At 36.4% G+C, this 23,809-nt stretch overlaps 1 protein-coding gene and 1 long non-coding RNA gene across 5 annotated transcripts in view; both read right to left on the bottom strand.

Annotated features, from left to right (window-relative positions):
- Positions 1-23,809, bottom strand: part of CDK14 (cyclin dependent kinase 14) — a 614,270-nt gene that overhangs the window by 406,255 nt on the left and 184,206 nt on the right. For all 4 annotated transcript variants that reach the window (NM_001287135.2, NM_012395.3, NM_001287136.1 and 1 more), the window contains one exon: positions 13,684-13,763. In NM_001287135.2, the coding sequence (NP_001274064.1) occupies positions 13,684-13,763 (80 nt within the window). The remainder of the gene's footprint in view (positions 1-13,683; positions 13,764-23,809) is intronic.
- LOC124901694 (uncharacterized) lies at positions 1,427-8,874 on the bottom strand. The gene is made up of 2 exons (XR_007060424.1): positions 7,356-8,874; positions 1,427-7,282 (listed from the first exon to the last, which is right to left on the bottom strand). It is a non-coding gene; the product is annotated as an uncharacterized LOC124901694 (long non-coding RNA).

Raw genomic sequence — 23,809 nt, 5'->3', positions numbered from 1 at the left:
AGATCTTTTTTCCAGGTAAAAGATTCATGTTGGTAATATTATTTTAATTATAAAGCTCTAAAATAATATGGTCTCCATTTCAAAAATGAAAAAACTAAAGACAAAATATGTTAAGTACTTGCTTATGATCACATAGCTAGGGGCACAGTCTCCATCAAGACTGAAAAATTTCCAGCTCCTCGCTTATGGAGCTTTCTCAATATCGCCTTTTTGCTCTGGGGAAGCCTGAGAAGAATCTGTGTACAATTTTCATCATATGGGTTTCTGTCCCAATAGTAAGGCCATATAATAGAATACAAAGAAAGAACATGGGAGCTTATTCATTCATTCACTCAGTCATTCAACATACCCTGAGTGCCTATCATGTGCCAGGCACTGTTCTAGGCCCTGGTTAGAATATTCAAGGTGAACTCCATATCTACCACTTAATTATTTGTATGACTTTGCACAAAAAAAATCTTGTTAGACCTCAGCCTCTTGATTAGTAAAATGAAGATGGTAACATCAACCTCCCTCAAGGAATTCAGTGTCTTGATTAGTAAAATGAAGATGGTAACATCAACCTTCCTCAAGGAATTAAAAATTAAACTAGATCATATACTCGAATATGACTTGTAAAGTTCTCAATTTAGATACAACAAACACCTGTTATCTAAACTGCACCACCATGTCACACAACTGCCACATGAATGCCAGATTTCAAACTCACTAATTGAACTCATTGTCTTTCTTATACTCCACCTGCCTCCCCTATCCCCAACCACAGTTACTCATTACTGGTTCCACTATCTACCTAATTACCCAATCCAGAATCCTGGAAGTCACCCTGACTAACCCCACCTTCATCAAGCTCCATGTCTAGTCAAACACAAAGCCCTACCAAGTGTCCCTCTTAAGTCCCTTCCAAACATATTTATCTCCTATCTATCCCTACTGCCAAAACCTTTTTAGAGGCCCATTAATTTTTTGCCTTAAATATTTGGGTGCCTTTTTGTCTCTCTAACACTGCATAATCTGAACTGAAAATAGGTAAATTCAATAAAAATCTGCATGTTGAAGGTTGAGACTCCCCTGTAACCTCTGTCTCTTACTCAATCCCCACAATGTGGGCAGCAAACTGAAATCTTCCAGGCAGGAGATTAAATAATCCTTTTCTGTAGAAACTGAAGCCTCCTTCCAAGAAACGACCCCCAAATACTGACATCTTAGATACTGCAAGAAAAAAAAAAATGGTTAACTCACCCCATCACAAAACTGCCAACCAATATTCCCTATCCAAGCACCCAGAGCTTCCAAACAGCGTATTAAAGTCTGACTTTTAAATATGAGCTGACAATCAACAAGATCTCCAGGTAGCTGAAAGATGCTTCCAATAAGAAAGAGACCAAACACACAAGCAGAAATAAATGAAAGTGACAATATAGAAGAAAATTCAAATAACTATATTATTTATTCTCAAAGACATAAGAGATGATAACTCTTCTTGATCTCCTTTTGGGAGATTTCTCTGAGTTCACAATCCAAATGTTCTTCTGAAAGTTTAATACCTGTTAATGTATTTTTATTTTGAAGAAATTTTCATTATTCCTTGATTGCTTCTATTTTATGGCCTCATGTTCATATTTGATGGATATAATGTCCCAAGAAGCCTGTAAGTTGAGTCGTATTTTCATCCTCTTTAAGAAATGGAAAATGAGGCACAGCAAGTTTAAGACTTGCTCAAAATCATACACTTAGATGAGAATGAAGTCCAAACTGCAATCCAGGCAGTCAGGCTTCAGAAACCAGGCCCTGGACCACTTTCTGGTCACTATTTATTAAAATTTACTGTAAGACCAAACACATAGCTTGAAGACCATGAGGATGCAACTGAGAAACCCCTGGACAAGGTAATCTCTAAAGTCTGATTTAGATTCCTAATTAGCTTTTATAGGATTCATGTACTTCCAACAATGATGCTACAAATAGTGTCTTTAAAAACAGTTGCCAATAAAACAGCTGAATTCAGAAATGTCTAGGCTGAGCAAAGAATTTTTGAGTCTTAAAAAAAGTTATTAAGACCCTTGAAGAAACCTAATTTAACCTGTCACCTACTACACAGGGTCAAATGTTGCATTAACATAATGTTTCACTGAAAATTCCATCTATAATCAACTTGTTAATTTTGAAATCATTACAAGAGGATGAACAATTCCAAACAGCGATATTGACAAAACACAAATGGAAACAAATGTTTGTCCTTTCTTCCTCTCCCTGCAACAGCCCTCCAGTCTATTAAAGAAGGAGGTTATGTCCCAGGAGCCCCTCTTCCCATCTGTGCCCACTCTCTCAACTTAGCTTTCAGGAGCCTGAGTGCAAGAGACTCCAGGTCAGGGAAAAGGGAGGGAACAGAGGACCTGAGTTCTCTTTTGGCAGATGTCCTCTCTCCACTGGGAAGGTGATAGGGGTAAGAAGTATCTAGGCATCCAGATATTGACAAAATAATTTCAGTTATAACCAAAGATGATTATATACTTATCATTTAGGTTGTATTTGATCATCAAAACTATATATTTGGATAAAAAAAGGCTCTTATGGGACAGCCCAGGAATCTACTCAAAGATAAAAAAGATGTATCTGGATAAAAAAACATGTCCATATACCTGGATAAAAGGCATATCTGAATAAAAAAAGACTCCAACAGAACAGCCTGGAACATTTTGTCTTTGTGTAAATGTGTCTGAAATCCCAGTGGCCAACGTATAGAATTGTGGAAGTAGACCTTTATCATTTCACAGCAACTTAGTAGCTTTAGAGGTCTCCATTATATCAGTTCTTCCTGCTTCCAATCCCAGACTAACTACCAATGTCTCAATCATACTCACTAACTTGACAGATGTAATCTATCTCCACACAAGCCACAGTTCATATGTCATTCAATAATCCACAGAGAATGATATTTTGCTTGAAAACAAAAATAAATGAATAACAATAACAAAAGAGCCTATATGGAGAGAAACAAAAATAAATCACATTGGAGAAAGTTATCTATATTCATTCATTGTCTATTATATGCAAACTTCAGTAATAAGAAAACAAAGAAGAGTGTTATCAAAACCACCATGTAGTACATTTTTCTCCTAAGCTTTCAAAGGTCCAATGCAGGTCCCAGTCCATTATGACCTACAAATCTCCCTGTGAAACTGAGAAAAATAAACACTGGTAGCAGGTTGAATAGTGTCTCTCAGAAATTTATGTCAGCCCAGAACCTCAGAAGGTGACCTTATTTGCAAATGGGGCCTTTGCAGACATAATTAGCTAAGTTAAGATGAAGCCATGCTGGATTAGCGTGGGCTCTAAATCCAATGACTGATGTCCCTATAAGAGGAGAAGACACAGAGAGAGAGAAGACCATGTGAAGATGGAGGCAGAGATCGAAGTGATGTAACGATAAGCCAAAGAACACCAAAGATTGTAGGAAGCCACCAGGAGCTAGGAAAAAACTAGCAAGAATTTCTTCCCTATAGCCTCTAAAAGAAGCATGAACTGGCCAATATCCTGATTTTGGACTTCTACTCTCCAGCACTACAAAAGAATAAGCCAGCAAATTTGTGGTAATTTATCACAGAAGCCCTAGAAAAGCAATACAACACCCCAAACATGAAATGCAAGAAATGAAATCTAGACTGGTTAATTATCAATTGAATTATAACTCAATTACATATACAAACTTCACAAGCAATTGTACCATACAGTTACAAGGAAAAATGGTATGGTTAATGAAAAACAACAAAAACAGATAGGCTATAACATTAAAAAAGAAAAATGTAAGGTAGAGAATCAAGTATCAGTCAAACACCAAAATTTTAATGACTCAATTAAAATCAGTCTTATTTTCCAATTTATAACTTTAAAAAATTTGTAAAAGTAATATCAATAATTCATATAACATTTATTGTACTATTAGAATATTTTAATTATACAGTACAAATTTTACAATTAAATCATAAAATTATTCATTTTACAAGCAGGTTAACTAATTCCAAATATTTGAAATAAAAGAAGTTGTTCTTTTTCCTTTATCTCTTTTTCAGTTTATATCTACCTCTGCCTTCCTGGTACCACATTTTGTATTAAAAATCTAAAATGTTTCCATAGAATTCTAATAGAATGAATAATGAAAAAAATACATAAAGAAGGGTGGAGAAAGGAAGAGAGAGAAGGTGGATAAAGCACATGGGAATACTCAGACATGTATTAAAAAGAATGTACCCAAACAAAAAGTTCAATACTACAGAGTTTACCATGAGAGGTCCCCTTTTCCTCTACATGTTTCTACTGTCTCTGAGTTATATTGTGTTGAATCTATTTGTTCCTTTCCTCTTTTAGACCCTTTCTTGTCCTATGTGGATGCTGCCTTCCTTTCTTTATTGAAAAATGTGTTATCACTTTTATAAATAAATTTTTTCCCATGTCCCCCCTCAAAATCCCTATCTTTTTTGCTAACCTTGACTTAATGGCAATAACACAACCCTCTGTATGAAATGAAAATGAAGCATAAATTCAAAATTTCTACATAAAATCTAGCAGAGTATAACGTTTAAGTATAGGCTCTGCCGTATGATTGCTCAGGTTCAGCTTTTTTTTTTTTTTTTTTTTTTTTTTTGAGATGGAGTTTCACTCTTGTCACCCAGGCTGGAGCGCAGTGGCGCGATCTTGTCTCACTACAACCTCTGCCTCCCAGGTTCAAGTGATTTTCCTGCCTCAGCCTCCCTAGTAGCTGGGATTACAGGTGCCCGCCACCACACCTGGTTAATTTTTTTGTATTTTTAGTAGACACGGGGTTTTGCCACGTTGAACAGGCTGGTCTCAAACTCCTGACCTCAGGTGATCCGCCTGCCTCCGCCTCCCAAAGTACTGGGATTACAGGTGTGAGCCACCGCACCCAGCCAGGTTCAGCTTTTAGCTCTACCACATGCTAGCGTTAACCTTAGGTGAGTGACTTCTCCAATCCTAACTTTACTAACCTCAAAATAGCAATAATGATAGTACCTACCTTAGAGGGTTTTGTGAGTGTTAAGTGAGACTAGGCTCTGGCTGTGCAAGCACACACCAAATATTGTCTATTTATACTGCTACCATTTTAATTTAAATTTGTTCCCTATTAGAGTATCTAGATTTCTCTTTAAGCATAATTCTCACCTAAGAAAACCATCACATATTCAAGAATCTATGAAAAGAGACAACTGGTTCATTCACCTCATGCCTGTCTAAGAAAATCTTAAGACAACAAAAAACGTGGAAGTCTAGAATACAATATCAGAGAGTAAGAACATACACACTTAACACTTAAAAGTTGTTTGAAAGATGGAATATCCTAAGACATTTTATCCACTGTCTTTCAAACCTCTCCTGTATCTCCCAGCCCTTTATCTGTTCCTCATAAACCAAGATGATGCCATATAATGATTCTAAATTAAAATAGAAAAGCTGACCCTGAGCACTACAACTTAATTTCTCCAAGCTGCCATCGAGGACAGAATGAGTTTCAAAGCGCCTGAACTTGAATTAATCCATTACACACTCTAGCTCAATGAGAGATAAAATTCAAAGTACATCTTTGGACATAAATCTAGGTTAGATTAGAGTTGCTTCAAGTATTTCCACTTGAGGTGAAAATTACGCCCTAAAATCCAAGTTTCTAGGTAAGCCTGTGAGTGGCAAGTAGCCACTTACAAACTACTTTACTGTGCATGGTGCTTTCCTATTCTGAAATCTTCCCGCTGTTGATATTTTGTAAATGAGAAATTGATCAACACAGCAGAAGAGGGGCAAATTCAAATTCAGGTGTTCTATCTCAGTTGAACACACCATGCTGCTTCCTCATCAATGTAAAATTGAACATATCCCAAATGTCTCCCACATTGCCCTAAATATTTCAAATTCTACCATTAGATACACAGAGGAGTTATTGTGTCTGGACTTCCAGAAGTATTAATGGGGAAAGGCTAAGCAATGATGATGCCTTTTGCTTCCAGATATAAACAGCAGAAAAATAAGAATATGAAAGGCAGAATGAGAAGGCAAGAAAAAAACAAATAACAAAAACTGACCCAGAGTTTAATTTCTCTTCCTTGAAGTCATTTACTGCTACAAAAAAAAAAAAAATCACTCAGAAGTCAGACTTTATTAGAAAGACATTAAAATATTTTATTCAATAGAAAATAAAATGCCATTTTGTGATCAAGGCCCCAACTATTTTTCTATCATTCCCTGATCTCCAGAACATTCCAAATTCTGAGTTTAAAGATTCTTTGGGAAATCAAAACCACAACGCCAAAGTAGTTCTTAAGAGATGGCATAATCCAACTCCTATTTTTTGCAAGTAGGGTGACATGGTTTGAGTCTGTGCCCTCACCTAAATCTCATGTTGAATTGTAATCCCCATTATTGGAGGTGGGGCCTGGTGGGAGGTGATTGGATCTGGGGTGGTTTATCATGGTTTAACACCATCCCCCTTCGTGTTGTCATATCAATAGTGAGTCAGTGAGCTGTCATGAAATCTGGTTGTTTAAGAGTGTATAGGACCTCCTCCCTCTCTCTATTCCTCCTGCTTCAGCATGTAAGACGTGCCTGCTTCCCCTTTGCCTTATAGGATGATTGAAAGTTTCCTGAGGCCTCTCCAGAAGATGCTGTGCTTCTGGTACAGCCTGCAGAACCATGAGCCAATTAAACCTCTTTTCTTTAGAAATTACTCAGTCTCAGGTATTTCTTTACAACAGTGCAAGAATGGATTAATACGTAGGGTTACTAAGGCCCAAAGCCATTAAGTGCTGTTATGGGCTGAACTGTGTCCCCCCAAAAAATTCATGTTGAAGTCCTGACCTTTAGTACCTTAGAATAGGACTGTATTTGGAGATAGGGTCTTCAAAAAGGTAATTAAGTTGAAATGATGTCATATGGGTGGACCCTAAACCAAAGTGATTATTGTCCTTGTAAGAAGAGAAAATTTGGATGCAGACAGGTACACAGGAAAAATGATGTGAAGACACAGGGAGAAGACCACTATCTACAAGTTAAGGAGAGTGGCTGGCACAGATCTTTCCTCATTGCCCTCATTTGGAGGGCCATGACACCTTACTCTCAGACTTCCAGCTTCCAAGACTGCAAGACATTAAGTTTCTGTTGTTTAAGCTACCCAGGCTGTGGTACTTTTTTTCAGCAGCCCTAGCAAACTAATTGAGGTGGCTTATCTTATACTGTACATGGATGAAAAACAAAGTCAGGATCAAAACCTACTGATCTGTGTATGTCGATTCAGTAAAGTTGCAGAATACAAAATCAACATACACAAATCAGTAGGTTTTGATTCTGACTTTTTCATCACTGTACAACATAAGAGAAATCACCTCCAGCTTCCCATGGGAGTTTCTACCTTGCCTTGTAACTGACTCTGTTTTCACTCAACATTCGCTTCCACAAAAATGTTATACATGGTTCAACTTCTTAACGACCATGGTACATATATACTACTTACGCTAAACTCTTGTGAGCTGCACTCCCACATTCCCAACAAGACATTTTCATACAGATGTCTCATGAGCTCAAAATCCCTAAAACCCAAATTGATTACTCCAAAATGTCAGTAATGACCCTGTTGAAATCTAACAAGGTCTAGGTACAAGATCCTGCTCCTTAGACAAGTCATCTAACCCCTCTGAGCCTTAATTCCATATTTATAATACAGGTTCTATAAACAATATAAATTCTACAAAATAAAAATTTAAAACTTTTTCAAAGGGCTAGCATATGAAGATTATATCGGATAACAGCCTTTTAAACTGTAAAGTCTTAAAAGCAATTCTCCATGCAATCACCAACTATTTCTATCTCTGGCCCTATTTTTTCACTCAGTCAAACTCAAAACCATTGACATTTTCCTCTCAATCTGTAATCAATACTTCACCTAGCTCTGACATCTCTTTCTATAGAATATTATTTTTTGTTACTAACATCTAATAAACCCATAATTTCAAATCTGCAACACACTGAATGACTGACTTATCAGCTTCCAGTTTCTTCTTTTTCTAATTGATATCCTATCTGAATATCAGATTTTTGTCCCTAATATGCCCAACTCTAAAGTCTTCAGAGGCTCTCTAACCCACAGAACAAGATCCCACCTACACAGCCCTGCATTCTACAACACAACCGCAACTGAGGGCCAGTTCCTAAGCTCATCTCAAGGCTTAAAATGAAATTATGTTGCCAGTCAAAGCCAGGTCTCAGTGTGCTAAGGATTCATTGCATTCCCCGCTTCTCTGTGTTTCCCAGAAGCTAACCTTTAATGTGCCTCAGGAGCTTGCCTCACACCCAGCCAAAGTGAATAAGAAGATCATCAACAACTTCAATGTGATCCTACTTGCTTCTTCCCTTGAACCTCCCACTGATGGGCCTGCTTGTCACACTGGTCCTTCAATACCACTACGAACCTTCTTGTCACCTTGGACCAAGACTAGCACCAACAGTAAGATTAGGTTGATTAATTCTAGTGCACACCCTGCATACCAGGAATCCTGCCTGCTGGCCAGTTTCATTTTTCTTCTGGTTCCTTTTTGGCCCAGAGTCCCTGTCCCTCTCCTCTCTCATATTCAGGGTCTACTGTATAATTAAATTCAGTAGCACTTTTAACCTTATCTCCCTCCACAGCTTAACAAAAACCTATTGTTCTACCTCAGTCATTTTCAATCCCATCAAAGCCAATACCCTCTTTATATAACAAATATTTTACTACTTTTTTTGCCTTTACTACTATGAAATGGAATTCATATATAACAAGATACACATACATAATTTCAAATATTTATATATAAATATAATTTCAAATATATTAATTTATATCTATATGTAACTAATACAAAAAATAAATAAAAATTAATTTATAATAAAACAAAGTCTTTAAATATGTAAGTAGACACAACTATACCGGAACACACTGAAGAGTGGTGCTCACATCTATGTACAGAATCAGCATAAGCACAACCACTACAAATGCAGACTGTGGGATATTGCATTATTGAATTAAATAACACAAGCAGCACTGCCACTAAGGAATTTTTCCAAAATATGAACAAGTTGTAAAGTTTTAAACAAAACACAATACAATTTTTCCATGATTTACACTGTAGTTGTATTCCTAGATAGTTTGGTATATATTAAATCTGTGCACAGCATATTTTGTTTATATGCAAAATAGTTGGGTTTGGGCTCATAAATATAAACAGATTTTTCACCTGCATGAATGCTCAGTAAGACATTAAAAAAAAGCTTGTGGGACATGAGACAACTGTTGCAGGAAGCCAGGGACCCTGAACAGAGGGACCGGCTGAAGCCATGGCAGAAGAACATAAATTGTGAAGATTTCATGGACATTTATTAGTTCCCCAAATTAATACTTGTATAGTTTCTTACACCTGTCTTTACTGCAATCTCTGAACATAAATTGTGAAGATTTCATGGACACTTATCACTTCCCCAATCAATACTCTTGTGATTTCCTATGCCTGTCTTTACTTTAATCTCTTAATCCCATCATCTTCATAAGCTGAGGATGAATGTCGCCTCAGGACCCTGTGATGATTGTGTTAACTGCACAAATTGTTTAAACAATATGAAATCTGGGCACCTTGAAAAAAGAACAGGATAACAGCGATGTTCAGGGAACAAGGGAGATAACTATTAGGTCTGGCTGCCTGACAGCCGGGCAGAACAGAGCCATATTGCTCTTCTTTCAAAAGCAAATAGGAGAAATATCGCTGAATTCTTTTTCTCAGCAAAGAACATCCCTGAGAAAGAGAATGCATTGCCAAGGGGAGGTCTCTAAAATGGCCGCCTAGGGAATATCTGTCTTTTACAGTTGTAGACAAGGGATGAAATAAGCCCTGGTCTCCCATAGAGCTCGCAGGCTTATTAGGATGAGGAAATTCCCGCCTAATAAATTTTGGTCAGACCGGTTGTCTGCTCCCCGACACTGTCTCCTGATAAGATGTTATCAATGACAATGCGTGCCCGAAACTTCATTAGCAATTTTAATTTCGCCCCGGTCCTGTGATCTCGCCCTGCCTCCATTTGCCTTGTAATATCTTATTACCTTGTGAAGCATGTGATCTCTGTGATCCACATCCTATTCATACACTCCCTCCCCTTTTGAAAATCACTAATAAAAACTTGCTGGTTTTACGGCTCAGGGGGCATCATGGAACCTGCCAACATGTGATGTCTCCCCCGGACACCCAGCTTTAAAATTTCTCTCTTTTGTACTCTTTCCCTTTATTTCTCAGACCATCCGACACTTAGGAAAAATAGAAAAGGACTCATGTTGAATATCGTGGGCTGGTTTCCCCCGATAGACAATTGTTTATTGTATTAGAGCAGAGACTGACAAACTTTTATTGAAAGGGCCAAATAGCATATACTGTTAAGTTTGGGGGACCATACAGTTTGTCAAAAGTACTCAACTCCAAGAAAGCAGCCATAGACAATACATAAATGAGTTGGAGTGCTGCGTTCAAATAAAACTTTATTTACCAAAACAGACAGCAGGCCCCAAGCCACAGTTTGCCTCCCTCTGTATTAAGAGTTTCTCACGTAAATGCCAAGCTCTCATCCACTAAACATGGTTGCATTGTTCAATTATTGTGATGACAAAAGCCACTTCCATGGAGCAATAATTACCCATCCCTCCCACTCTATCAATTGAGAACTCCTGATCTTAACTATTCCTCCTGTTCACTGCACTTGGCAAAGGCATTGAGCTTTCTGGTCTCAGCTCCTTTTCTATACCTGTCTGGAACACTTCTCCTCAATCTACTCTTTACTGTTTTTCTATCTTATGCCTAATTCAAGTCCTAGCTAACACTTTACCTCCCATCACTAATGGAAGAATTTCCTTAAAAATCACAATCTTTTAGAAATAATTTCACAATCTTTTAGATTTCAAAATCTTTTATAAATAATTTGGCATTAATATGCTACCACATATTATTCTTCAACTTATGATTTATATGTTCTACCTCCCACCTGCAAGGCAGGTTCCTTGAGGGAACAGACTGTATCTAATAATCTGTCATATTTATAGATTCTAACCTAATGATTTTCCTTAAGTCACTTACTATTGTAGAGTGATTACCATGCTAGATGTTGAGGGTACAGCAGTGAACAATCAGACAAGGTCTCTGACCTCACTAAGATTATATACAGAGTGGAAAGAAATTTTCACATTCCAATAAGAATTATAATGGAAATAAAAATAGGGTGTGATGTGGAGAGTAAAGATGCATAAAATGATGGTCAGCCACTAATTTGGATAAATGGACAAAGAAACTCTCTCTGAAATGGGATGTTTGAATTGACCCCTAAATCTAAAAAGAGCCAGGGAAGAGCATTCCAGCCATGGGGAACAACATGTGTAAAATTCCTGAGACAGGAAACTCTATAGCATGTTTGAAGAAAATCAGTCATATAGGACTTGAAGCAATTTTAAATAAGGGGATTGACATAATATGATTTTAGTTTTCAAAAATATTATACGGCTAACAGAGTAGAGAAGGGATAGTAATAAGGCAAGAGAAGTGAGGTGTATAATTAAGAAGCTATTACAGAAGTCCATGGAAGAACTGATGGTATCCTGGACTAGGGGTGGCAGTGGAGAGACAGAACGTGGACAGATTTCAGGTATCATTTAGAGAGGTAATCAACAGGGCTTGTTCATGGCTAGATTTGGGTAGAGGAAGCACTGGATGCTGCTATTACTAATACAGGGAGAACATGGTTTCATTTATAGTGGGAGGATCATGAGTTCCATTCAGATGTGTTAAGTCTGAGATGACTGTCATACAATGATTGATTTTTAAAGATTAAACTAGCCTTGTATTCCTGAAATGAATCTCAGTTGGTAGTGATGTAGTATCCTTTTTATATACTACTGTATTCAAGAGAAGATGCCAAATAGGCAGGTGGATATATGAAATGGAGATGAAGACAAGGTCTTAGCTAAAGAGATGCATGTGTAGGATATCAACTTATAGCTTCTCTTTAAACTCATGAAATAAATAATATCACCTAGGACAGAGTGCTTATTAGAAAGAAAAAAAAAAAAAGGCAGGCACAGTGGCTCACGCCTGTAATCCCAGCACTTTGGGAGGCCGAGGTGAGTGGATCACTACTTCAAGAGTTCGAGACCAGCCTGGCCAACACGGTGAAACCCCATCTCTACTAAAAATAAAAAATTAGCCAGGCGTAGTGGCGCACGCCTGTAATCCCAGCTATGCAGGAGGCTGAGGCAGGAGAATTGCTTGAACCGGGGAGACAGAGGTTGCAGTGAGCCGAGATTGTGCCATTGCACTCCAGCCTGGGTGACAGAGCAAGATTCTGTCCCAGAAAAAAAAAAAAAAAGAAGCCCTTTCCTGTCCTGAAACTCCCCCTAACTCAGAGAAAAGGTCAGCCTAAGAGAAAAACCTACCTACTTGGAAAATCTGATGTCACAGAAGAGACCGTTTCAACCATGCAATCTGCTAAAAGGCTGGGTAAAATAAGACAGAGAGGTATACATTTGACTTGACAAGAAGCAAGTGACTGATGAACTTTATAAGAACAGTTTCCGCTAAAGATAAATGATGGAAACAAAATTAAAATTGAATGAAAAGGAGAATAAGAGGTGAGAGAGTAGAAATAGAAACAAGATTTTCAAAAATGATACATGTAAATCATATCAATAGTTGTACATGTAAATCATATCAACAGTTGTGGGAAACAAACCAAAGCAGTGACAGACCACATTTAGTTCATCAATACCTTGATAAATTATTGCAGCAAACCACCAATTTATCTTGTTATGGATGAAGAGAATAATAGCTGTGATCCTTTCAATGCAAAAATAAACTGAAGTCTTATGTCAAGATAATCTGCACTTTTAAAAATGTAGTAGAGGTAAACCTACTTATCCTAAAACTTATTAAACTGAACTGAAAAGTTCCCACTGATTAAAAAAAAAGATATTTTATTCTCTTGGAATACAAAAGCCTTTCTATGCAGGTAACAAAGCAAAGATAGAGCTATTTGATTTAATAAAAAATAAAATCTTATATGTAGCAAATAACTACATTATAAAAGAAATTTTAGAAAATAACAGACTAGAGGAAAATATCACAACATAAATGACCCTAATATATAAAGAATGTCTATGTTATCTTCTTCCAATCAGAAAAACCAGTAAAAGTACAGTAAAGGATAGAAACAAAGGAAGAAAAGAAATTCAAATGCCTAGTAAGATGGCATGACAAATCCCCATTTTTAAAGATTTTTCCTTAAAAATCATCAATACGGAATAATGTTAAACTAATATGTATCTAAGGAACTCTGTAAATGATAGCAGACATACAAAATTCCTCAGTTACCTAGATAGCTTCACCATTAATGCACAGCATTTTATTCCACATCTGAGCACACAGCAGATAATCTTGTTTCATTTAACATGATTTGACATGACTGCAAGAGATACTGATTTTTAAATTTCAGTTTACACATTTTAATGAAAGATACAATCCTGTAATTTTAAAACTCAGCATATTCAGAGGTGTATAATATTAAAATAGCTACGGGGACCATAGAAACACAAAAGCAATATCAACAAGGAAAAGTGCCTACCTTCCCTGATAGCTGTGAAAGGTGTCCCTTCTTCTTCCTGCAGCCTGATCACCTTCAGAGCTACCAACTTCCCATTTACCCTGTGAGAAATGAAAGATAAGTGAATTCATAAAAATATGTGCCCATTATAGTTCTAATTGTCTTCCTTATAATTTATATAACTAAATAAATTCACTTTTATGCTAAAAATGTCAGTGATTCAATTATACCACCAAAGCAAGGTTTCGGCTGGGAATTCTGTATCATCATCATAAATATTCACATTTTAAATATTCATACTTGCATAGGCCAAGATTTAACTGAATTTTTCTGTGATTCACTGTGTTCCTTCCAGAATGAAACTAGTATTTAACCAAATCACCACACTTGATAATTAGTCTCAGATTAATTAAAAATCATGCAATCAAAAATAACTCTGTTCCTTTGTTTCTCCAATAGCTCCCTCTTTGTTCCTTCTGCTGAAATGTCTTCATTTTCAGTCTTTAGCTGAGGTCATTCAATTCCCAAGGACAGAAACTTGACATTCTTCTCTCTCTCTCAAAAAAAAAAAAGGAAAAAATTCCCCTTTTTTTGTTTTTTTTTCTTTTTTACTACAACCTCCTAAAATTATATTTGGTCTAGTTGTGCTTTATATTACAGTATGTCATCAAAAAAGTTATGAATATTTTACCATTACAAGATTACACAAGACCTATCCAAAGCAGATGGTCCTTCCAGACACATTCTAAATATGTGTTGGCGCCAATTAAAAGTAAGATTGTGCTATGGAGTTAACTTTTTATCCAGTCATTTCTGCCATCAATCAAAGACATAACTATCTATATTAGTCCCCTCCTTGACTGTTCTATTTTCTACCTACACTGGGCCTAGAACCATACTTTATTTGGTTTGTTTGTTAATTAAAATAGGAAAAAACAAAAGCACACATATAATCCTCAGTGGATTGGTTCCAGGATCCCCTTTGATACCAAGTCTGAGGATGTGTAAGTCTATTACACAAAATGCTGTAGTGTTTGCATAAAACCTGTGCCCACCACCCATATACTTTAAATCATCTCTAGAGTACTTATAATACCTAATACAATATAAACACTATGTAAATAGTTGTTATACTGTATTTTTTACACATATCATTTTAATTGTTATATTATGTCTTTTTTCCCAATTATTTTCAATCCAAATTTGGTTGAATCTAGATGCAGAAACCTCAAACATGGAGAGACAACTGTATTAAAAATGTAAAAGGTACAAGATATATAGACTTACATATATATGTATCACACATATATATACACATAAATATACACACATACACAAATAGTGGTATACAATACAGAGTACACTCTATATTGTTTACACTTAACAACATATTTTGGTGACATAAATTCATAGAAAACTGCCTTTTGCTTTCAAAAACCACAGGGTGTTCTTATGTATGAGTATAGCATACTAAGTTTAATCCCAGTCCTCTGTTGATAGCTATGTAGCTTGTTCCCAAATTTTGCTACTACAATGATGTAATAAATATTCTTGTATGTGTAATTCCATCCTGTAAAAATATGTCCGTAAGTTAAATTCCTAAAAGTGCCATTGCAAGGTCAAAGGTATGTGCATTTCTGATCTCCAATTCTGATGAATATTGGAGAAGCATCCTACATAGAGGATACCAATATAAATATTTGGTATCCTTTCCTATACCAAATAGAGCTCCCCTGCCTCTCCTCCTTCACCTACACTATATGTTCTCAGTGTCTGATTTTGCCAATTTAATAGGTCAAAAATGGTCTCTTGTTGCAATTTAAATGGCTACCAAAAATCTCTAGAGGTTAAAGAACTAGCAAAGGAGAACTTATGTGGGCCAGAGAATCCAGTGTCTGAGTTTGAAAGAATTTGAATGTCTCTTTTTTAAACCTACATCTATTTGGTCTGCTTTCGCTCAAAAAACTGCCATAGACATAAAACCCAAAAGAACAAGGACTTCATCATAGTTGAACCATCCTAGTGGCATTTCTCATTGAACTGATTGCGGAAATACATTATTATTGGTTACAGTAATGGGATAGGGAGACCTGATTATAAGGCTCCACAACGTACCATCTCCTCAAGGTCAGGAGTTGTGTTTCTTTTTCCTTCTGCTTTAGCAGACAGGACAGGCCTGCTGCTTTTCTGTTCTGCAACTTCTTCTCCTGAGTATATTTTCTTGATTTTTCTAATCCTGTTTGTGCTCTAGGTACCCAGATGCAGGCAAAAAAAATTACTATGCACATGGGGTTCAGCTGGAGACTGCACCTTGTACTCTTCACTTCATCTTTTAGGACTAAGCACTTTGGCAGGGCTTGAGGCTGGGATGCAGTTAGTGCTGATAACTGCATGAATTTTTCTCAGCCCAGTTGAGCTCATCACTGGCTCCCTGAGGAGGCAGTAACTGATTCCAGGAACTGCTTGGAATTTTCCCCTCATTTACAGATATTTTCCCCTCACCCATAAAACACACACACAACCTTTTTCCCGCAGAGCTTTCCATTTCTCTTGAGAGCGTTAACTTTTATATATCACGTATTGTGAACTGAGTTCTGGAATATAGGAACCGCATGCTTCTGTAGGTTGTGTACTTGAAGTACATTCTCAGGCATGAAACTATGTTTGCCTTGTAACACACTGAAAGGACACCAGCCTTTAATTGAATCAACACTCATTTTTTAAGTGCAACTAAAGATGGATTCCCCCTAAGTAATTTCACTGACTAATTTGTATTATTTTCATAGTGAAAAAGGTCTTTGAAAATATTTTCTATGGTAACTGCATAAAAAAACAAGACCTAGGTTCATGGAATTCATATTCTGAATTCTCCATGAATTGAACCTCCAAGTGTTTGTTTTTAATAAGTTATGATCATCTCAACAGTTCATGACACTGAGATTTTATGTATTACATCACTTCAAACTAAAATTTCCTTAAAATATATACTACACCATAAGTTCCAGAAATGAAGGGGACTTTTCCTGTTTTATCAACTGATATGTGCTCAGTATCTAGGACCTTCTTGGCACAGAGTAGATTTCACTGGGTGAATATTAATGCTGTTATAATAGTATACTAACATTTTCCTCATCATACCTGCAAAATAAGTCCAGAATAAATTACTAAAAGTATTATTTCCAAAAATTTCAAAAATACCAACATTTTATAAAGTTTTCAACATCTTTCATGTTAGGTTTAAATGTTTATTTTCTTTTTATAAATAAAAGGTGTGGTCTCTTTATGTTTACTGCATCTACATATAGAAAAGTTTTTATTTCCTTTAAGTTTTTATATTCCTTAAGAATTTGTAGAATGCTTTGTTAATTAACCTTTTTGCATCCAGCAGACATGTTTCAAAACACTCACTAACCTTACTAATCTTTAATAATCTGAGCAAAGACCACTAATCAGCATCTCCCTTTTCTACGACTGCTTCATTGGTTTCTCATTAAGAATTACACTGATTATCAAATTGCTCTTTAACCTAAGAGTCATTGTGACTTTCTCCTTTCTTAATTACTTTTTATCTACGTGTCTCAACACTCAACAACTACTGAGTCTCTCAGTTCTAAAGCCTGGTAAAAATGTTAAGTCACTGGGTCTACTTTTAGAAAAGACAGCTGTGGAAAAAATAACGTTAAGAAATTTTTTAATAGTCTACCTTTTGTTCATGTATATTTTAAACCTTTTTTTTTTTTTTTTTTTGGAGACAGGGTCTCACTCTGTTGTCCAGGCTGAAGTGCAGTGGCATGATCATGGCTCACTGCAGCCTCCAGCCTCCATCTCCGGGGCTCAAGAGATTCTCCTACCTCAGCCTCCAGAGTAGCTGAGACTACAGAGCCATGCCATCACGTCAGGCTAATTTAAAAAAAAAAATTTTAGAGAAAAGGTCTCACTATGTTGCCCAGGATAGTCTTGAACTCCTGGGCTCAAGTGATCCTCTTGCCTCACCCTCCTAAAGTGCTGGGATTAAGGTGTGAACCACTGTGTCCAGCCTTATTTTAAAGTTTAATATGACCTGAAATATTTGACAGTCTAAGTTACTAACTCATTTACAAAATGGAAATTTTTAAAGATATCAAAAAGATATATTACTGTATGAAAAACAAAATGAACATTGTGTCTTCTAATTATCTTGTGGATTTAACCTATTTTATGAAAACTTCAAACATATAATTCAAACGTTGATTTAAATAACTTGAAATAATCACAAAATTCAAATTGAATCAATAAATTAGAGCTGTTTACAGAAAAACATTGAAGATCCCTCTTCAACAAGTCTTATTAATTAAATCAAAGGCTAATGAATAGAAGGCAATCAGGGCTTGATTGCCAGTGGAGACGTTAATTCAGGTAAATAAAAAGGGCTCTAAATTGTGCTAATATTACCACAGAATGTTCTATTGCAGTTACTGCCAAATTTGCCTGTAGTTGCTTTAAGCTGTATAGAGAGCCATTTTATTTCAGAGATTCTTTATGCTTATTCTCTTATTTTTCCAATAACTGTCATTCCCAGCTTAGCCCAAAGGAGCCATGACTCATTGCTTTAGTCTGCCCATCAGGCGGCATGAACTCCAAAGTGCCGTACCAGGAAGAACTGCACTGGGCAGGAGTGGGGAGAATATCTCCATGCACAGGACATGGGGATACTGGGTAGCCAGGTAGAGCCAGGCTGAAAGGGGATCCAACTTTCAAACTGTTTCTAAGCACAAAGCACAAATCCAAATCTGTCAATTTCAGAAACTCTGTCCACACATCTGTGTGCCCTAAATTTGTAAATATAAAATTTTCTTGTGGGAGTAAAGCAAGGTCTAGAAGTTTTCTCTTTTTTTTTTTTTTTTTTTTGAGACGGAGTCTCACTCAGCCGCCCAGGCTGGGGTGCAATGGCATGATCTCAGCTCACTGTAAGCTCCACCTCCCAGGTTCACACCATTCTCCTGCCTCAGCCTCCCGAGTAGCTGGGACTACAGGCGCCCACCACCACGCCTAGCTAATTTTTTTTGTATTTTTAGTAGAGATGGGTTTTCACCGTGTTAGCCAGGATCGTCTCCATCTCCTGACCTCGTGATCTGCCCATCTCGGCCTCCCATAGTGCTGAGAGAAGTTATCAATAAAGAAAACAGCCTATTTATTTTTTCACCCATTCATTTGTTCATTTAATGTTCTGCAAAAACAATAAAGGAAAACTCCCCACTTAGCTCAAAGTACATTTTCCAGTTTCAAAAGATGATGCTTAAAGAGAACTTCCTTATGGAAAAAAATTCTCAAAGAAAGCCTAAAGGTCTTCTATTCCATTAGTTACTTCAAATTAATAGACTATCTTAGCACAAGAAAACAAAATTACAAATATTATCTGTGTCATCTCTGAAAACAGTGTCCATGTGCTAACACCTAGAAGAAATTATGTCTACAAGATATGAAGGAAATTAAAGCAATATACCCAAAATAAATTTAATATAATCTGGGAAATTTAATATATTCTGCTTCTCTCTTCCATTATGATTTTGTCTCAAGAGAAACTGCGAAGGAAAATAATACCAAGTGCAGACATATACAATGCTCGTTTCCTTGCGGTATTGGTCTAGAAGCAATAGAAGGAAATGTAGATACTTTGGAGGGAGTGACAGTAGAATGCTGGAGTAGGGCAAGGACAATATTTTCAGAAGAATTTACAGATTTTTGGCAAAGTTATTAAAAATATTTTTAAAGTTATATTAATAGTGTTTCATTTATTAATTCCCTCTTTATATGCTAGTTAAAATGCTCACTATACTGTATTACATACATATTTCAAAAATTAAACTTAACTAAATATTCATGACATTGTTACTGTCATCTAAATTCAATTCTGATTCAGGTGTGAATAAGAAGTCATCTCAACACTGTTTAACATTTACTCTTCAGGAATATCCTAAAAGTGCTAACTACAATACTTTATTCCAGAAAAATAAATTAAAATTTCAAGGTAAACTGTCAGTAATTACACCTTGTCATAATCTATATCAAAGTAATACAGAGAGAAGTGGAAGAAGACTAAAACTAGTTTGTCTTAAATTAATTTCTTTTTAAAAAAACTTATGGATACATAATAGTTGTACATATTTACAGGGTACATATGCTATTGATATAAACATATAAAGTGTAATGATCAAATTATGGTAATTGAGGCATCCACCACCTCAACCATTTATCATTTCTTTTTGTTGAGAACTTTCCATATCCACTCCTCCAGCTATTTTGAAATATGCAATAAATTATTGTTAACTATAGTCATCCTATTGTGCTACCAAATGGTCTTATTCCTTCTATCTGTGTTTTTGTGCCTATTAATCAACCCCTCTTTATCCTCCATCTCTCCACGACCCTTGTCAACCTCCAGTAACCATCATTCTACTCTACCTCCATGAGAACAATTTTTTAGTTCCCATATATGACTGAGAACATGTGCTATTTGTCTTAGTGCTTGGCTTATTTACGAAGTTAATGTCCTCCCGTTCCACCCATGTTGCAAGTGACAATATCTAATTATTTTTTATGGCTGAATAATATTCTATTGTGTACTATCTATCACATTTTCCTCATCCATTCATCCACTGACGGACACTTGTAAGCTGATTCCATACCTTGACTATTGTGAACAGTGCTGCAATAAACATGGGGGTGCAGGTATCTCTTCCACATATTGATTTCCTTTCCTTTGGATAGATACACCCAGGAGTGGGACTGCTGGATGATATGGTAGTTCTAGTTTTTTGACGCTCCTCCACAGTATTCTCTATAGCAGCTGTACTAATTTACATTCCCACCAACAGCATACAAGTGTTCCCCTTTCTCCATATCCTCATCGCTATTTGTTATTGCCTGTCTTTCAGATAAAAGCCATTTTAACTGGGGTGAGATGATATCTCACTATGGTTTTGATTTGTATTTCTCAGATTTTTAATGATGTTGAGCATTTTTTCATACACCTGTTGAACATGCATATCTCTTCTTTTGAGAAATGTCTATTCAAATGTTTTGCCCATTTTTTAATCGATCTTTAGGGGTTTGGGGGGATTTTTGTTTTTGCTATTTGTTTGAGTTCCTTATGTATTCTGGTTATTAATCCCTTGTCTGCTGAACAGTTTGCAAGTATTTTCTCCCATTCTGTAGGCTGTCTCTTCACTTTGTTGATTGTTTGCTTGTAGACGCTTACTACTAAAAGAAAACATTGGGAAATGCTTCAGAACATTGGTTGGGCAAATAGTTCTTCAGTAAAACCTCAAAAGTACAACCAACCAAAGCAAAAATGGACACATTAATTTCTTTTTGAATAAAACCCAAAGATTAATAAAACAATAGTATAACAGCTATTTATTAGGATGTGACTAACAATGCAAAAAGATTTAATGAAATGAGGGAAGGGCATATTCAATCAACAATTATTACCTATAAAAAGAATTGATTGCTACTAAAGCATGATTAATCATTATCAATGCTTTATCAAATATACAAACTCATAATATTTAGAAACATAATATTAGAGTGGCATATAAAGTTCATAGGAAAAAATTATGTACATTTCAGCAATTTTAAACCACCCAAATTTGCACCTTTCTAAAAATAAAATCTGTCAACCAAGGATTTTAGGGTCTTATCATCTTGCAATTAAAAGTAACCTCAGTAATCATCCAGGCTCCCAAGGAGACAAAAAGATCCTCACTGGCTTGATAGTCTATCCTTGTACTCTCACTGCCTGGATCAAAGTAGTCCCTAAAACATTTTCATGGAACCCCAACTCCTCTATAAAAATTCAAATTATTTAGTTCCTCCTTATGTTGAGACAAAAATGCTTCCTGTGAGTTTTACTCTCTGATTCAAGATCTGAATCCACAAAGACTAAACTAGGTCTTCCTCTATAAGACAGCCTTTCACTTAATGAAATTTTAATATCCCACCCCTTATTCAATAAATATTAATGGAGAGACTATGAGCCTGTGTGTGGAGTGAAGGATAAACAATATAGACAAGTCCCCCCATTTAAGGAGCCAATAGTTTAGCCAAGGAAACAGACACAGAACATCTAAGTACAAAAACGACTGAGGCATGTCAAAGAGATTCCAGAGGCTCCCATTTGTCAAATTAGACAACTTGTGCATTAGTAAAATAATACCTGCAATTTAAAGATATAAAGTATGTTTAAATTTTGGAAGTTCTGGCCAGGGCAATTAGGCAGGAGAAGGAAATAAAGGGTATTCAATTAGGAAAAGAGGAAGTCAAATTGTCCCTGTTTGCAGATGACATGATTGTATATCTAGAAAACCCCATTGTCTCAGCCCAAAATCTCCTTAAGCTGATAAGCAACTTCAGCAAAGTCTCAGGTATAAAATCAATGTGCAAAAATCACAAGCATTCTTATACACCAATAATAGACAAACAGAGAGCCAAATCATGAGTGAACTCCCATTCACAATTGCTTCAAAGAGAATAAAATACCTAGGAATCCAACTTACAAGGGATGTGAAGGACCTCTTCAAGGAGAACTACAAACCACTGCTCAATGAAATAAAAGAGGATACAAACAAATGGAAGAATATTCCATGCTCATGGGTAAGAAGAATCAATATCGTGAAAATGGCCATACTGCCCAAGGTAATTTATAGATTCAATACCATTCCCATCAAGCTACCAATGACTTTCTGCACAGAATTGGAAAAAACTACTTTAAAGTTCATATGGAACCAAAAAAGAGCCCGCATCACCAAGTCAATCCTAAGACAAAAGAACAAAGCTGGAGGCATCATGCTACCTGACTTCAAACTACACTACAAGGCTACAGTAACCAAAACAGCATGGTACTGGTACCAAAACAGAGATATAGATCAATGGAACAGAACAGAGCCCTCAGAAATAATGCCGCATATCTACAACTATCTGATCTTTGACAAACCTGAGAAAAACAAGCAATGGGGAAAGGATTCCCTATTTAATACATGGTGCTGGGAAAACTGGCTAGCCACATGTAGAAAGCTGAAACTGGATCCTTTCCTTACACCTTATACAAAAATTAATTCAAGATGGATTAAAGACTTACATGTTAGACCTCAAACCATAAAAACCCTAGAAGAAAACCTAGGCATTACCATTCAGGACATAGGCATGGGCAAGGACTTCATGTCTAAAACACCAAAAGCAATGGCAACAAAAGACAAAATTGACAAATGGGATCTAATTAAACTAAAGAGCTTCTGCACAGCAAAAGAAACTACCATCAGAGTGAACAGGCAACCCATAAAATGGGAGAAAATTTTCGCAACCTACTCATCTGACAAAGGGCTAATATCCAGAATCTACAATGAACTCAAACAAATTTATAAGAAAAAAACGAACAACCCCATCAAAAAGTGGGCGAAGGACATGAACAGACACTTCTCAAAAGAAGACATTTATGCAGCCAAAAAACACATGAAAAAATGCTCACTATCACTGGCTATCAGAGAAATGCAAATCAAAACCACAAATCAAAACCACAATGAGATACCATCTCACACCAGTTAGAATGGCGATCATTAAAAAGTCAGGAAACAACAGGTGCTGGAGAGGATGTGGGGAAATAGGAACACTTTTACACTGCTGGTGGGACTGTAAACTAGTTCAACCATTGTGGAAGTCAGTGTGGCGATTCCTCAGGGATCTAGAACTAGAAATACCATTTGACCCAGCCATCCCATTACTGGGTATATACCCAAAGGATTATAAATCATGCTACTATAAAGACACATGCACACGTATGTTTATTGCGGCACTATTCACAATAGCAAAGACTTGGAACCAACCCAAATGTCCAACAATGATAGACTGGATTAAGAAAATGTGGCACATATACACCATGGAATACTATGGAGCCATATAAAATGATGAGTTCATGTTCTTTGTAGGGACATGGATGAAATTGGAAATCATCATTCTCATTAACTATCGCAAGAACAAAAAACCAAACACCGTATTGAACAATGAGAACACATGGACACAGGAAGGGGAACATCACACTCTGGGGAATGTTGTGGGGTGGGGGGAGGGGGGAGGGATAGCTTTAGGAGATATACCTAATACTAAATGACGAGTT

Source organism: Homo sapiens, chromosome 7, assembly GCF_000001405.40.
Source record: "Homo sapiens chromosome 7, GRCh38.p14 Primary Assembly".
Classification (NCBI taxonomy): domain Eukaryota; kingdom Metazoa; phylum Chordata; class Mammalia; order Primates; family Hominidae; genus Homo; species Homo sapiens.
The sequence above is the reverse complement of the archived record's forward strand: the minus strand, read 5'-3'. Positions and strand labels throughout refer to the sequence as shown.